This window comes from Homo sapiens, chromosome 5 (genome assembly GCF_000001405.40).
Source record: "Homo sapiens chromosome 5, GRCh38.p14 Primary Assembly".
NCBI classification, from domain to species: Eukaryota; Metazoa; Chordata; class Mammalia; order Primates; family Hominidae; genus Homo; species Homo sapiens.
The window spans coordinates 143,530,960-143,549,008 of NC_000005.10; the positions used below are offsets into that span (position 1 = coordinate 143,530,960).

General features: G+C 37.5%; 1 long non-coding RNA gene and 1 pseudogene across 2 annotated transcripts in view; one reads left to right on the forward strand and one right to left on the reverse strand.

The window, feature by feature from the left end:
* The first annotated feature begins 374 nt into the window (after nucleotides 1–374).
* LOC105378208 (uncharacterized) overlaps nucleotides 375–18,049 on the forward strand; it is a 28,809-nt gene continuing 11,134 nt past the window's right edge. The window contains exons 1-4 of one of the 2 annotated variants that reach the window (XR_944374.4): nucleotides 375–446; nucleotides 8,882–9,037; nucleotides 10,279–10,459; nucleotides 13,655–13,724. This is a non-coding gene — a long non-coding RNA (uncharacterized LOC105378208). Of the gene's footprint in view, nucleotides 447–3,940; nucleotides 4,044–8,881; nucleotides 9,038–10,278; nucleotides 10,460–13,654; nucleotides 13,725–18,049 lie in introns of those variants that run through there. The other variant, XR_944373.4, reaches the window with a different exon arrangement.
* RNU7-156P (RNA, U7 small nuclear 156 pseudogene) lies at nucleotides 11,555–11,628 on the reverse strand (annotated as a pseudogene).

Genomic DNA, 18,049 nt, shown 5'->3' on the forward strand with positions numbered 1-18,049 from the left:
GCCTGTAATCCCAGTACCTTGGGAGGCCGAGGCGGGTGGATCACCAGGTCAGGGATCGAGACCATCCTGGCTAACCCGGTGAAACCCCATTTCTACTAAAAATACAAAAAAGTAGCCGGGTGTGGTGGCGGGTGCCTGTAGTCCCAGCTGCTCGGGAGGCTGAGGCAGGAGAATGGCGTGAATCTGGGAGGCGGAGCTTGCAGTGAGCCGAGATCGCGCCACTGCACTCCAGCCTGGGAGACAGAGCCAGACTCCGTCTCAAAAAAAAAAAGAAAGAAAGTTTTTAGTTGTTGTTTAGTTTTCCTATTTAAAAAAAATCAATGATAAAAGTCTGTCTTCCACACGCATATGCATGCACATACTCATTCTATGGCAGTTAAGAGCAAAATTCCAAGTTAAACAGAATACCAACGACAGTCTGGAAGGGAAAAAGACAGCACACAAAGGTAGAAGGCAGCTTTTGGATTGAAAAAAAAAGGATCCATGGCTTTAGTCTTTTCTTTTTTTTTAATTTTATTTTAAGTTCTGGGATACATGTGCAGAACATGCAGGTTTGTTTCATAGGTAAACATGTGCCACATGATAGTGGTTTGCCACACCTATCAACCCATCACCTAGGTATTAAGCCCTGAGTACATTAGCTATTAATCCTGATGCTCTCCATCCCCCTGCCCCCAAGACAGGCTCCAGTGTGTGGTTCCCATCCCTGTGTCCATATGTTCTCATTGTTAAGCTCCCACTTATGAGTGAGAATATGCAGTATTTGTTTTTCTGTTCCTCTGTTTACTGAGGATGATGGCTTCATCCACATCCCTGCAAAGGACATGATCACATTCCTTTTTTATGGCTGCATAGTATTTCATGGTGTATATGTGCCACATTTTCTTTATCCAGTCTATCATTGATGGGCATTTGGGTTGATTCCATGTCTTTGCTATTGTGAATAGTGTTGCAATAAACATTCACGTATATGTATCTTTATAGTAGAATGATTTATCTTCCTTTGGGTATATACCCAGTAATGGGATTGCTGGATCAAATGGTATTTCTGGCTCTAGATCCTTGAGGAATCACCACACTGTGTTCCACAATGGTTGAACTAATTCTCACAGGCTTCTCCAAAGCAGCTAGCGTAACCACCTTCTTCATCCTCTTTTTTACTTCCTTGAGCCATTGTGGAGATTTCTTCCCTTGGCTCCTTTACAGATGAGAGTTCTTTACTCACATCTTGGCAGCATCTATTGAAAATAAAATTTCACCCTGTGGCCCAGCAGTAACATCTCTAGGTATCTATCCTTGTAATCTTTTGCCTTTGCACAGGGGACCATGATAAGGACATTCAGTGCTGCGTGGCGTTTAAGAGGCCCAAAGTGGAAATGACCTTTAGATCTTACAGAATGGGAATAGCTAAATAATTATGGTGAAATGATAAGAGGAAATGCCATACAGTACTTAAAATGGATGACTAAACATATATCAATATGATAGATGTCTCAAAACATATTTTGCACTGAAAATAGCAAGTTGCAGAACAGTATGACACCATTAATGCAAAAAATCCAAACCCATATTATATGTTTTATGTGAATTATGAATATGCATATTGTGTGCATGTAAAAGTGTGTGTATGTGTGTGGGGGACCTCACTACCTCTGGGAATATGGGGAAGGGATTAGGATGAGGATATTGGTGAAAGAGGACCTTAGCTATATCCATAATATTCTAACTTTTAAAAGTAGAATTGAGTCATACGAATTACTTGTGGAACTAAAACTAAAGTTAAAATATCTAAAGAATTATTAGACTTCTGCCTTTAAAGAATGTCTGGATAGGGTAAAATAATCAAGCTGGGTTCTGTGGAACACTTGTGCTCTGTCAGATAGCATTGGGCATTTGTTGATTTCTAATGTCATTAATCATACAGAGGTCAGAGAGTGAAACAGAATTGGCACTGGACTCAGAGGGATCAGAAAACTCAGACTTTGCTTCCATCTTCACTTTCTGCCAGGGAGCTTGTCAAGGATGAAATGGCTCTAAATGGCTCTATAATGGCTTTCCTTTTAGTGGTGTTATAATATTTTGTTAAATATATGTCTTTAGATTTTAGGACTTTGTTTCAGGCCTTGTAAATAAGAGGATAGGTGGGAGAGGTAAAGAATGTATTCTTTCTGCCATCTACATAGAAACTCAGAATCTTTGCGATCTAGTAAATGTTCAAAGGAGGCTGCCAATGGCCTATTTGCAATATTAAAAGATGAGATGAGACCTAACAGGACCTAACAGACGACATCTATCGTCTCTCTTGATAAGCTCCTCTCTGTTCTCTCCCATTTCGTGATATAGGAAATCATGTTGTGTGACAGGAGTAGGTTGGAATTGGAGGAAGAGATCTCAGGCAGTTGTTGTCAGTTTGGGGCTCTGTAAATTCTTTGAGAAAACTTTTCTGGGTCAGGTTAATTCCTGGACTCTCAAGGGCAGGGGAGGGAGGATGCCATGAGGTCAATGAAATCCCTTAAGATTCTACTGGTCTTAGCGTTCTATATTTTTAATTTTATGCCCCAGAATCGAGGGGACATGGTCATGGGAGAATGTGGCTTTATAGCCATAATGGTAATCTCCTCCTCGAAAACAGTTGGGTGCTCAAATAGGGAAACACTGGGTAAAACAAAGTTAATATGTGTCTGTACTGCAGGACTCTTCAGAGCCTTTAAAATGTCTGTCCACACAGGGATTCTCCAAAATTAGGGTAGCATATGCAATGGGTTTCTACATGTGTTTGGCTTTTTCTCTCTTCCCTCCTTACCTACACCTGTAGTAGATAGCATCTATAGAATATTGGATGGTAAAAGGCAGAATGAGAAAGTGCTACCTCATCTTAGTGAAGGTGAAGTTCTCAAATTGCTATGATGGTAAATTTTATGTGTCAACTTGACTGGACCATGGGATGCCCAGATATTTGGTTAAACATTATTTCTGGGTGTGTCTGTGAGATTAGCATTTGGATCAGTAGAATGAATAAAGCAGATTGTCCTTTCCAATATATGTGGGCCTCACCCAATGTGCTGAGGACCTGAATAGAACAAAAAGGGTGGAAGAAGGGAGAATTCACTCTCTTTGCCTGACTTTTTGTGCTGGGACACTGGTATTCTGCCCTCAGACAGGGGCTCACATTATCCTTTTATGATCAGTGTTCCTGGTTCTCAGGCCTTTGGACTTGGACTGGAAGGTCATCACAGGTGTTTCTGAGTCTCCAGTTTGAGATGGCAGATTGTGGGACTTCTCAGCCTCCATAATTCAATAAGCCATTTCCTTATAATAAATCTTATATATATTTATATTTTATTGCTTCTGTTTCTCTGGAGAACTCTGCCTAATACACACCAACTAAAAGTGATGCTTACTGGACTCTGTACTGGGTTCTCACACTTACTGTAGCAAGAAAAGAGTAGAGATTATGAGTAGCTTTGCTAGTAAGAGCCTACAATTCCACTTATATAAAGCCTACTGTCAATTCAAGCTGAAGTACCATGCCATTGGTATGTGCTGCCACCACCAAGTTGGCTCTCACAGGGACTGGCACACAGCCATACACATCCCTGCAATCATGACCTTTGATAGTGAGGTGAGGAGTCGGATAACCAGGCGACATCTCTGCTCCAGCCAGAGATGACTGGAGGCAATTCATGGTGAAGATGGATGAAGATAAAAAATTCAGGTTTGGGGAGTTTGTGGGTGTTTTGCAGAATTCTGTTATCCTCTTTCTTGATTTATTGGGGGACAGTGTCATCTTAGCCACAACCGACGTCTGTCTGAGCTGCTTGGGAGCCCATGATGATAAATTACTGAAAACACTGAAGCAATTATCCAGTTAATTTAGGTTGAGCACCTATATTATCTTCAACACCACAAAAATGTTCTTCTTCTGGCAGGAGAGCTCCTCTATTAATATTATGGCTGCCTAATAAAAAATGTGATGTAAAGCAGAGGGCAGCTACGTCTACATGTGCTTGCTGATGAGGAACAGTACACATAAATGGTGACAGGTAATGATTAACTTAAAGTGTCTAAATACATCTGAGCCCTGCTGAATAAAATGCTTAAATCTAAGAATGGCTGTCAGTGCAGGAAAGGCGTGTGGAGTATTTCCAATGTCTCCTTTCTCTTACGGTAGCCTATGCTAGATGAAACTACGCGTTCAAGATTCCACTGCTGCAGCAGTGCTGTGACATGGTTGGGAGCACAGGCTTTGAAGTCAGGAGCCCAAGGCCAAGTCTCAGGTGTGCTGTGTCCTAGTTGTGCACGTTTTTTTGGGCACTGGGATTCTCGTAAGAATCAAGAGTAAGTGCGAGAATGTTAAGCGCTAAGCAAAGTGCTGGGCATGGAGTGAGTGCTCAGTAAATTAAAGCTGTTATCATCACCATCACCATCATCATCATCATCACGTCATCAATATGATCATGTTTACACCCGACAGCTGGGATAGGTGCATAAGAAATAATCTGGCTTCTAGTTTGAAAGAACTGTGAAATAGGATCCATATACAGATGCATCCTAGTTAACTATGGGAAAGTGGCTTTTTCCTTAAAAGTTTCAGAAAGAGTTCTTCAAAAAAGTTGGGCTTTGGTGGTTTAGTTGTGGAATGGTGGTGAGAGGGGAAAAGACATAGGTTTTGCGTTCACAAACTTGGGTTTGAATCCCAGCTTCACTCCTCATCAGGTAAATGTCCTCAGGCTTTACTTTCTTAAGCATCAATGGCTTTATCTACAAAATGGGATAATGGGCCAGGCGTGGTGGCTCATGCCCATAATCCTAGCACTTTGGGAGGTCAGGGTGGGAGGACTGCTTGAGGCCACAAGTTTGAGAGAAGCCTGGGCAACATAATGAGACCCTGTTTCTACAAAAAATTAAAAAGTTAGCTCAGCATAGTCCCTGCTACCTGGAAGGCCAAGGCAGGAGAATTGCTTGAGTCTAGGAATTTGAGGTTGTAGTGAGCCATGATTACACTACTGTGCCCAGCCTGGGTGACAGAGTGAGACCCCATCTCTAAAAAATAGAAATAAATAAAAAACAAATGAACGAAGTTCATTTCCTGGGCTTCAGGGAAGATTGTCAGATAACATTTGAACAGCATCAGTCACATACAGGTTCAATAACAGCTGGTTCTAATATCCAATAGGGACTGGACAAGCTCATGTGAACTTTAGGGGAGCATTTTAATCTGCCTTTACAACATAAAACACCCAGCTAAAAGGTGGCTGGATCTAGTATTTCAGTTAACTTAACCAGCACAGCCAAATCATAGCTCAGTTGCTGGGTGCCATGGTGTCAAAAAACCCATAATGATATAACAGAGCTAAGAAAATCTTCTGAGACATAGACGTCACTCTGCCAATACAAGGTATCATTATAGAGGTGAATTCCTAAAACAGGCCAGATCTGTGACTCCCCGGTGCCCCTGCCAGAATTGATCTCGAAATGGTGGATTACAACAGCCGTGGTACATCCACAAGCTGCCTGGGAGTTTCTTGTCTTCTCATCACAGTCAAAATGGCTTACTGGCTTGGTTCCACCAGTCTTGCCTTCATTCCTACACCAGGAGTCATGACTGCAGCATGCCTTCAGGATGACTGTTATCATGGGCTTTGGCTTCCACATCTCAGCTCCTAGCCAGTCCTCCCAGGGGCTTAGGAAGTCTGCTCCAGCTTGGCCAGCCTGCTTGGGGAAGGACTGAGGAAGAGGGCAGGAATGTGGAGGTGGCCTGCAGGGGCACCCCTATCTGAGGAAGTGTCTTGGGAGAGTGGCAGTTTCTGAGCAAATGGGGAAGGGCAGAACTGGCTGCCTTGAAGTTCTGAGGGGGACAAAGAGGTTGCTGTAGCATTTGTAAAGCCAAAACCTGGAATCAACCAGAATGCTCATGAACAGGGGAATGGTTGACTAAATGGGGATGTATCTGTGCTATTGTAGAATTACCTGTTACAGAGGGAGTTAGAGCTCAGTCCTTACACTCAGAGGAATGTCTGTGCTACTAGGAAAACAAAGTCCAGAGCAGTATATGTAAAACCACCTCCATATGTGTACAAATAATAATGGCTTCCATTTATTATCTATTGTATGCCAGGGACTGTGCTAAGTGCATCTAACTAATGCGTTAACTAATTTGAATCTCACAACAACCTGATCTATTTATTAGACATTTCCCTGGAGAACTGAAGACATTTAGTAGAAGAGGCAGACGGTAAAAATCTCTCCCTATACATACTCTCTTTCATTTGCTTTCAAGTGTATGTGAACTAGTTGAACTTGTTTGGCTGTGTCTATACCATTACTGGATTTAATTTGTGTTGCCTGACAGCTTTTCAAAGAAAACAGCTTCATTGAATCCTCAGGGCCCACACATAATACACACTAAAAACCAAACAGAAATAAGGTCCTACTCACCACAGACTACCAAGAAGAGCCTTTTTCTCCAAAAGTACATTTTCAAGGCCTTAGGTGAAATATACACTGCTTAATAAAACCCATACTTGAGTGGAGGGTAAAGGCAGGAAAAAGACAGGCAGAACAAACAACTCATGTTCCAAGAGTTCAATTGCAAAATTTTAAAATTGTACCCATAGGTGGCTATGTTAAAATGTCCTTTTATGTAAAATAAATTGGTATAAATCCAAAATGGTTAGACAGTATCTGTTAATTATTATTCTTTACAAAATATTAGAAGTACACAGGGAGCTTCAGGGCCATGTACAGGTTACGATTTCTCCCTTGAAGGGTTCTACTTGTTTATAGATGAATTCAGCACCCAAGAAAGAGGTCTGCCTGTGGATTTATCAAATACCATATTTCAATGGGGCATGGGAATGTGACAGTAATTTTGAACTTAGGTAAGTTTTATAGATTAATTTCAGTACAAAAGAGAAATAGTTTAAGTTACTCCTGATGATAGAAAAGCAACATTTTGTCTGTGTAAAACCTTCAGACTATACAAAAAAGAATGTACAACATGTTAGAACATAAAAATTACCCTTACTACTCTTGGAGATAATTTCTAATATTTTTGGTAGATTTCTATTCATCGGATAGTGCCTGTTAATTATTATTATTATTTGTAAAGCATTGAAAGTGTACAGGGAGCTTCAGGGCCATGCACATGATATGATTACTTCCTTGAAAGGCTAGACTTCAAAGGCTTTAAGCAGCTACAGGACAGTAAGTTTGAAGATCTACTTAAAGTGGATAAATTCCTAGAAAAAAGATTAAATGCCAAAACTGGTATAAATAAGGTATAATAAACTGGTATAAATAAGAAATATATATATATATTGTTTTTGAGATGGAGTCTCACTCTGTCACCCAGGCTGGAGTGCAGTGGCGTGATCTTGGCTCAGTGCAGCCTCTGCCTCCTGGGTTCAAGTGATTCTCATGCCTCAGCCTCCTGAGTAGCTGGGACTACAGGCATGAGCCATGATGCCTGGCTAATTTTTGTATTTTAGTAGAGATGGAGTCTTGCCATGTTGGCCAGGCTGGTCACGAACTCCTGACCTCCGGTGAGCCACCTGCCTCGGCCTCCCAAAGTGCTGGGATTACAGGCGTGAGCCACCACGCTTGGCAGAAATATATAATTTGAATATATCAATGAATATTAAATAATTTGAAATGATAAACAAAGATCCTCCTTACTCATAGAACTCTAGACCCAGATGGTTTTATTAGAAAGTTCTACTAAATTTTCAAGGAATATTAATTCCTATGTTATACAGGTTGTTTTTGTAAAACAGAAAAAGGGCAAAATCTATACACATCATTTTATGTGTAATAAGCATGGCCTCATTCCAAAATTAGATGAGGATAATACAATGAAGAAAATAATAGCTCACTTTTTAATGTATAATGTTATACATAAAAAAATTATACATAATATATTAGCTAAACTAATTGTAGATTTAAAGAAATACCTTAAGATCAAATAGGGCTCATTTTGTATTTTTTTTTTTGAGACAGATTCTCACTCTGTTGCCAAGGCTAGAGTACAGTGGCATGTGATCTCAGCTCACTGCAACCTCCACCTCCTGGGTTCAAATGATTCTCCTGCCTGAGCCTCCTGAGTGGTTGGGATTACAGGCATGCACCACCATGCCTGTGTAATTTTTGTATTTTTAGTAGACACAGGGTATCACCATGTTAGCCAGGCTGGTCTCGAACTCTTGACCTATTAGGGTTTATTTTAGACATGCAAGGATGGTTCAATAGAGAAAATTCATTTATGTATGTTAGTGTATTAACAGACTAATGGAGAATAAAACTATATGATTGTATCAGTCAACCCCCAAAATATAAATTTGATATGGTTCTACACAAATTTATGATCAAAACTCTTAGGGAATTAGGAAAAGTAGGGAATTTCCTTAACTTGGTAAAAATGATTTCTACTAACAATTTATAGTAACTCTTATACTTAATGGAGAAATTTTAGACTCATTTTCTCTATGCTAAAGTTAAGACAAGGATGCTTACTATTACCATTAGGGGTTTTGGTTAAAGCTAAGGGAAAGACAAAGAAATAAGAATGAGAGTTAGAAAGAGTAGTAAATTATATTGTTATTTCCAATTATCCCCTACCACCTTTCCTGCAAGAGTTTTGCACTTGCTTGCCCATTGCCTTGTGATTTCTAGAGCCTTCCTCTGAGAAGAGAACACTTTTTACCCTACGTCATTTTATTTAACCATGGGATTTGTTTTGGCCAATGAATATGAATGAGTTTGACAGTGTGCTAGTTGTGAGCAGAAGCTTTAAAAGTCATTGTGTAGATCTGCTGGTTTCTTTGCATTTTTCCTTTGCTATGAGAATACTGTGTTCCTGACCAGGGCTGCTTCTTCTGTTCAGATCCCAGAATAAGAAAATATACAGAGGAAGCTGCAGCCAATATATATTCAACATGTTACATAAGTGAGAAACAGATGTTTGTGGTTATAAGTCACTGAGTTTTGGGAGCTATTTGTTATCACAGCATAACTTAGTGAGAGCTGACTAATGCAGAAGGTAAGAGAGAAAACTTTCCTCATTTGCATATGATATGATCATTTATCCAGAAAAATCCAACAGATTTCAAAAACAAAGTGTTAGAACCAATAAGAGAACTGGATAAAATTGTTGGATACATCAATCCTTTTTTTTTTTTAGTGCTAGCAATAGCAAATCAGAAAACATAATAGATAATAACATATCATTCCCACAACTAAGAAGTCTATTAAATATATAGGAGCTAATTTTATTAATAAAATAATATAAAAGCTATCTACAGAAAAGATGATCTGAATAAGTGAAGAAAATTACTGAGCTTTTGGATGAGGCAATATTATACTGGAAAAAAATAACATTTAATCTGTAAATTTGATACAATCCCATCAAAAATTCTACTTATATATTTTTGAGCAACATGATAAAACTTACTCTAAAATTTATGTGGTAGAATAAAAGTTTATAAACAGCTAAGTCAAGCTCAAAAAATATAAGTAGAGAATGGGCTAGTCCTACTAGACATGAAAACATATGACAAAGTCACAGTAACAAAAACAGTGCTACACTGGTGCAAACAAAACAAAACACAAAAAAACCCAAATACCCTAGATAAACAGACCAATAAAATAGGACACAGAGCTCAGACACAAACACATATATATATATAGGTGGAAACTTAAGTATGATAAAGAGAATATCATAAGTATCTAGCAGCTTACATTGGGAAAATTGACTCACTATACACAGAGTAAACTAGATCCTTACCTCACATAACACACGAATGTGGCCCCCACTTGAATTAAAGATCTAAAAGGAAAAGGTACAACTATACAGTTAATGGAGTATGATGTAGGAGAATATCTTAGTGACTGAGCTTAGGGCAGGGAAAACCTTTTTAACAAAAGTTTAAAAGGCATACTCATAAGGAAAAGTGTTGATGACTTTGAGCATCAACATTATGGCTTTCTGTTTGAAGAAGACATCATGAGCAAATTTATTACACAGATGTCAACATGGGAAAAGTATTAGAAATGTCTAAAACCCAAAAGGGCCAAATGAATAACACAAGTAACTGCTGCAAATCAACAAGAGAAAGGCAGCAACTTCAGCAGAAAGATAGGCAAAGGATACCAACAGGCAATTTACAGGAGAGGAAGCTCAAATTACTACTAAACATATGAAAGAAATGATGCCCAAATTCTGAGTTATCTGAGAAATGTAAATTAAAATAACAACAAGTTGTCTCATGTTTTACTTTTTAGACTGGCAGAAGTTAGAAAGATGGATAAGGCCAAGTGTTGGTGGAGATGTTCCCACATACAGGAATTTTACCATTGCTGATGGAGTCACTGTGTCATTACTGCAGCCTTTTTGGAAAGCATCTGTCACTACTTAGCCAATTAAGAAAATGCATATTCTATAACCCAGCAATTATACCTCTGGGTATGTATTTCAAAGAAAATATTGTATGGATCCTTCAGGGGATGTGCATGAGGATATTAATTACATGTTACTTGTAGCATTAGAGACTTGGAAGTAACCTATGAGTCCAATAACTGAGAGAGCAGATAGATAAAATGTTGAGGACACACATTCTGGAGTACTAAGCAACATTTAGAAAGAATGAATTAGAGGTACACACAGCAACATATTGTGAATTGTGGATCTTCAAAACATAGTGCTTAATGAGAAAAGTAAGATCAATGAGATGTATGATAGTTTCACATAATTACAAAATATTGTATAAAACAATAATTATTTTGCAATATACATATACAAAAAAGCACATGTTAACACATTAGAGTGGTTGACGCAGGTGGAAATGGAGCCCAAAGAAGCACAGAAAAAAATTATTCTTAAGCCCATACCCAGAGATAATAACTATCGACATTTTGTATCATCTCATAGGTCATAATAACAATGGCCATGGTTTACAGATCACCTACTGTGGGGCAGGAACTATGCTAAATGCTTAATATACTTTATCCATTTAATCCTCCTAGCAACCTCAGGAAGCCAATTCCATTATTATTTTCTTTAAAGAAGAAAGTGAGACTGAGAAAGATTAAACAATCTGTCCAAGTTCATCTAGCCAGGAAGAGAATGGATTTGAATCCCTGTCAATCTGACACTAATATCTATGCACTTAATCATTGCCCAGGTTTGCTTGCATCCAGACTTTTAGCAACGTGACACCACAAGCTCACATTTCCTGTTACGAGAATGAGATCGCACCACACTACTGCTTCATAACATGCTGCTTTAAAAATTTAACATTTAACCATATAATGAATCTCCACCTTAGTAAACATTATCCTCAATCTCATTTTAAAAGGTAGCATAGTATTTCACTGTCTAAATGAATGATGGAGGAATATAATAGAATAATGGGGGATGATTCTATCTCCAAAAGCTAAACATTTAACAGGCACTAAAAGAAAGACTCCACCTATGTCAGACATGTGTTGATCGAAGAGGGGTTCTTTTGTGTGTGTGTGTGTGTGTTTGTGTGTGTGTGTGTGTGTGTGTGTGTGTGTTGGGGGTGGATTTCTTCTTCTTTTTGTAAAACCCCGAAGACCTGCTAGACAAATTCAAAAAGAGCAGTAACGCTGAGGAGAATTCTTGATAACTATTAAGTAGTGAGGAAAACAAGAGCTACTGGATAATCTTTCAACTTAATTGGACCCTGGAAATATGTGGAGGATGCATTTTGATGATTTGTTACACTGAAAACAGTGCCACCAGATAATGTAACCAATACAAACACAATTATATTTATTTAAGGCAGTGGTTATCTTTTAAAATATAGACTTTTGGATGTTGTTGAAAGATGCTGAAGGAAGATGATAAATTTCACTAGTGGATTAGTCTTAGCTGTCTAAACCAGTGATTTTCTCAATGAACTTTCTGGGCATGCCTCACAGAGCTAATTCTTTAGATAACAGCGTCAAAGGATTCAAGCTCACGAGAAGGGAAATGTTGTGTCAGTTTCTGCTGGTTAGTCTCAGTAATAATGATAGCACATGGCATGGGAACAGAGCTTTACACTTCTTAAACTCAAATAGCCACTGGCATATTTGATTGCCCTGTTAGCCAAATGAGCTATATTGGGTAAGTGACATTATCACCTCCCTGAAGATGAGGAAAAGATTTAGGAGATTTCGCCAATTCCACAGTAGTATCTTTTTGGGAATTCCAAGTTCAGTGCTCTTCCTCCTACTTCATACTTTCTCTGAACCTGGAGGAAAACATCATTATTTATTCTGAATTGTACAAAATTATTAATTTTTAATGATATAGAGAGAGTACAGCCACAGTAAATATCAAAACTAATTTTTGTGCATGTCCGGATGAGCTTGTTTTGTTGCACACATGCAGATGTGCAAACTAGCATTTTAACCAGCAGAATAACTTGCTTTTATTTCTACACTGGGAATTTTGTTTAGAGTGGAGTGAGGTGGGAGAGGGGAGATTATCCATGTTGTTTTGAAGTACACAGGATGGAGTTTATCCAGAGGCCAAGTTTTACAGGTATTGTCTTTTGGTCTCCCTGTGGGTTAGACAAAGGCCATTCACTGTGATGTCATGTAATAAAACAAAACCAACAACAACGCAGATTTCCTTCAGATCACAATCTGCTCCAAGGAACAGCTCTATAGAAGCCCTTAAAATGAACTGTTTAAATGATAGCCCATTTAAAACACATTTGCTGAGGGCCCACTCAATTATTAGCTTGCTGTTTTGCTAAAGTAGTAGAAATATTTGAAATGCTGTCTGGTAAACAGAAGAATGCAGCTGGCATTCCATTAAAATGAGAGGTGAAAAGTGTCCTCAGGAAAGAGTGGGGAGATAGATCACAGTGTTTAGGGATAGAGGAATAGGGAAAGCAATTTGAATTAGACCTTCAAGGACAGGAAATAGGTTAATAGAGATGATGGGAGGCCGCAGGATGGGACAGTCCAAGAGTTCAGAGGTGAGGCAACTGATGGCATTTTCAGCACATCCTTGTTGAGTGGGTATGGCTGTGAGAATAGGGTTCTTGGAGTGTTTTACACCTTTTCTTATCCCCATTCTGCTCCCTCTGCTTGGTGAGCCTTGCTTACTCCCTCTCCCTTTTTGCTCTCCTGGAAAATTCCTACTCATCCTCAAGAGTCAACACAAATATTTCCAACTTTGTATGCCCTTTTACTGACTCTCCCAAATGTGACTCATCCCTGTTACTGTATCCAGTACCCTTTAAATAGCTTTTCAACTTTTCTACCTAAAGGTTTACACATCTTTTGTAGGATGTTTTTCTCATTACCTTATATCTTTAGTTGCTACCATAGTGGTATCTTTTTTTTTTTAAATAAAAATTTTCTCACGCTTATGGATGAATAACTAGATTTGCAATGGACTTTTGTATATTAATATATCTAAAAATTACTAAATTATCTGAATTTTAATAATTTGTCTGAAAATGTTTTTGTGCTATGTAGATAATTTAGCAATTGCTAATGCTAGAGTTTTATGTTCTCTTTTTAAATGCTTATATATTTAATTTTTCCCTCTTCTTGTTATTCTGGCTAAGATTTTCAATGTATTATTCAATGGAAATAGTGATAGAGGGCTTCATGGTCTTAATCTTGATTTTAATAGGCATGCTTGCAATATTTCTCCACCAAATATGATGATGGTTCCAGGTTTTCTATAGATACCATTTATCCAGGTAAGAGGCTTATTTCCTACTCCTAGTAGCTAAGAAATTTTGTCAGGAATAGTTGTTGAATTTTATGGACTCCTTTTTCAAATATGTTGCAATGGTCATATGTATTTTTTCTACTATTCACTGGATGATGTGGTGAACTATATATTAGTCAGTTCTCATGCTGTTATGAAGAAATACCCAAGACTGGGTAATTTATAAAGAAAGAAGGTTTAATTGATTCACAGTTCCACATGGCTGGGGAGGCCTCAGGAAACTTACAATCATGGCAGAAGGCACCTCTTCACAGGGCAACAGGAGAAAGAATGAATGCAAGCCAGGGAAATGCCAGACACTTATAAAACCATCAGATCTGGTGAAACTCACTCATTTTCAAGACAATAGCATGGGGGAAACTGCCCCCATGATTCAATTACCTCCCTTGACACATGGGGATTATGGAAATTACAATTCAAGGTGAGATTTGGGTGGGACACAGAGCCAAACCATATCAACTACATTAACAGATTTTGTAAATTTGAATTAAACTTGCATTTTGGGAAAAAGCCCAAAACCCAAATTATGAGTCATATTTCTGTACATTGCTTAATTTAGTTTGATAATATATTATTTAGGGTTTTTGCTTCTATTTTCATGAATGAGACTAGAAAATAATTTTTTCTTCTATTTTTCTTTTTCTTTTTTTTTTTTGAGATTGAGTCTTGCTCTGTTACCCAGGCTGGAGTACAGTGGCACGATCTCGACTCACTGCAACCTCTGTTTCCTGGGTTCAAGTGATTCTTCTGCCTCAGCCTCCTGAGTAGCTGGGACTACAGGCATGCACCACCACCCCCAGGTAATTTTTGTATTTTTTGTAGAGACAGAGTTTCATCATGTTGGCCAGGCTGGTCTTGAACTCCTGACCACAGGTGATCTGCCCTCCTCAGCCTCTCAAAGTGCTATTTATCTTGTTAATTTTCTCTATCAAGTTTTATAAGGCTGTAAAATGAACTGGAGAGTGTTATCCCCAACTTTTTTTTTCTATTTTTTTTGAATAAGTTTAAGGTTGAAATGATCTCTTCCTTGACTACTTGGTGGAACTCACCTGTAAAACTGGATCCGATGTAATCTATAAGGAAGATTTTAAACCACTGATTTACTTTCATTAGTAATGATAGGATAAATTAAAATTTTCTATTTTTCTAAGATTGGTTGTGGCAATTTTCATAACAATTTTATCTACATTTTCAAGTTTGTTGACATAATGCTGTTTATAACATTCTCTTATCTTGTTTTATTTTTCACATCTTAAAGCTTTACTGTATAATTTAAGTGCAATAAAATGTACCCACTTTAAGTGTAAAGTTCAATGAACTTTGGTAAATGTATTTGGTTATGAAAACAACACTACAATATGCTTTAGAATACCTTTCTCACCTCAACAAATTTCTCATGCCCTGTTGTACTCAATTTCTGCTTCTAGACAACTAAATACCTGTTTCTGTTCCTACAATTTTACCTTTTCCATAACTTAATATAATTGAAATCGTGATATTTCATCTTTTATACCTAATTATTTCCATTAGAATGTTTTCATCCATGTTGGAAATATCAGTAGTTTGTTTTTCTTTATTGTGGAGTAGTATTCCATTGTATGGATATACCACATTTTGTTTATTCATTTTTCACTTGATAGACATTTAGATTGTTTCCACTTTTTGGCCATTACATGCAATGACTGCTATGAACATTGTGTACAAATATTTGTGTGAACATATGCTTTCATTTCTCTTGAGTAGATACCAAGGAGTGAAATTTGTGTATTGTACAGAAAGCATGTCTTTAACTTTTTGAGAAACTACTAAATTTTGCTCCAAAGTGGCTGTACCATTTTGTGTTCCTATCAGTGATATATGAGAGTTCTAGTTGTTCCATATCACTTTGTCAACACTTGCTATTATCAGATTTTAACAATGTTAAAGAATTTTAGCCATTTTAATATATGCATAGGCATATCTCATTGTGGTTTTAATGACCAATGATATTGAATACTGTCTCCTGTACTTCTTTGTGTATCTTCTTTTGTGAAGGTTATGTTCAAATCATTTGCTCATTATTTATGCATATGCCCATTTACGTTTTTACTGGATTGCTTTCTCGTTTTGAATTGTGAGTTCTTTACATGAAAGGTCTTCAAAAAGTTCATGGAAAATGGAATTAAAAGATAAAAATAAAAAATAAAATTCATTTCTTAATTTAAGCTCTAGCAAGGTCAAGACACTTTTGTAAGCAATAATACCAGCCATTTAGTTCATCTTAAAGAACTGAGGGTCTTGGGAATTTAACCACATCAATGCAGTCTTTTTTTTTTCTTTTTTAAGAGACAGGGTCTCACTATGTTTCCCAGGCTGGTCTTGAACTCCTGGGCTCAAATAATTTTCTCACCTTAGCCTCTCAAAGTGCTGGCAATACAGGCATGAGCCAATGTGCCTGGCCCCATAAATGCAGTCTTTTTACATTACTAACTGAATAAAAATGGGGGCTGTTTACAGATTTTTTAAAATTAGGAAACAAAAAGAAGTCAGAAGGAGCCAAAGGACTATAAGGTGGATGCATAATGATTTCTCGCCCAAACTCTCATAAAATTGCCCATGTATGAGAAGAGGAATGAGCAGGAGCATTGTTGTGGTGGAGGAGGGCTCTCTGGTAAAGTTTTCCTGGACACTTTTCTGCTAAAACTTTGGCTAGCTTTCTCAAAACACTCTCATAACAAGTAGATGTTATCTTTCTTTGTTCCTCCAGAAAATCAACAGCAAAATGCCTTGATCATCCACAAAAAACTGTTGCCATGACCTTTGCCATTGACAAGCTCACTTTTGCTTTGACTGGACCACTTTCACCTCTTGGTAGCCATTGCTTTGATTGTGCTTTGTTTACAGGATTGTGCTAAGTAAATGCTTCAGGATCTTGATCCCACTTGTATACATTTGTATTGAAAGCTCTGCTCTTGTCTGCAGCTGTTTGTTCTTGCTTCAATTTTAGCTGAATTCATGTTTCTTTGATAGGGGTTCTTTTCAAATTAATGTCTTATCCTTCTCAGTGTCTAAAACTAGGTCCTGTTCAGACATGTTACAACAAGTTAGTATGAGTTTATTCTGGTGCAGAAAAATTTTGAAATCCATGGATACTTTTTTTAATAATATGCCTTTTCCATGAACTTTTTGAAGTCCCACAATATATTCTGGATACAAATCCTTTATCAGACCCTCTTATCTTTTTCTTTTTTTTTTATTTTGGATATGGAGTCTCACTATTGTTGCCCAGGCTGGAGTGCAGTGGCACGATTTTGGCTCACTGCAACCTCCACCTCTGGGGTTCAAGTGATTCTCCTGCCTCAGCCTCCTGAGTAGCTGGGATTACAGGTGCCCACTCCCATGCCTAGCTAATTTTTGTATTATTAGTAGAGATGGGTTTTCATCATGTTGGGCAGGCTGGTCTTGAATTCCTGACCACCGGTGATCCACCCATCTCGGCCTCCTAAAGTGCTGGGATTATAGGTGTGAGCCACCTTGCCCAGCCCCTCTTATCTTTTTAATGTCTGCACCATACATATGCTAATTATATTTTCTTTTTTATTTCTAGAATTATTTATTTGTGCTTTTTTTATTTTTACCTTGATCAATTTTGCCAATTATTATCCTATTATAAATTTTATTAGTCCTTTTAAATAACAAATTTTTGGTTTTGTTAATCATTTCTAATGAATGTTTATTTAATTGACTTGTAGTCATACTTTTTTTCAGCCTTACTGAGGCATAAATATTTGAGATATATCAAATCCTCACATTGTATACATTAAATATTTCCAATTTTACTTTGTATTTTTTGTCTATAAAATTGACAAATAAAATTGCATATATTTTGTGTATGTAATCTGATGATTTGATATACAAATATATTGTGAAATGATTACCACAATCAAGTTAACTAACACATTCACCACTTCACATAGTTACCTTTTTGGTGTTATGAGAACTCTTAAGATCTACTGTCTTAGCAAATTTCAATTATACAATATAATAATATCAACTATAGTACCCATGCTATAAATTTCTCCTCAGAGCTTATTTATCCTATAATTAAAAGTTTGTACCCTTTCACCAATATCTCCCCATTTTCCCTACCCCAGAAAGTCCTGGTAAGCACCATTCTACTCTGTTTCTATGAGTTTAACTTAAAAAAAATTCCACATGTGAGTGATATTATACATTATTTGTCTTTCTCTGCCTGGTGTATTTGACTTAGCATAATGGCCTTCAGATTCATCCATGTTGCAAATGGCAGGGCTT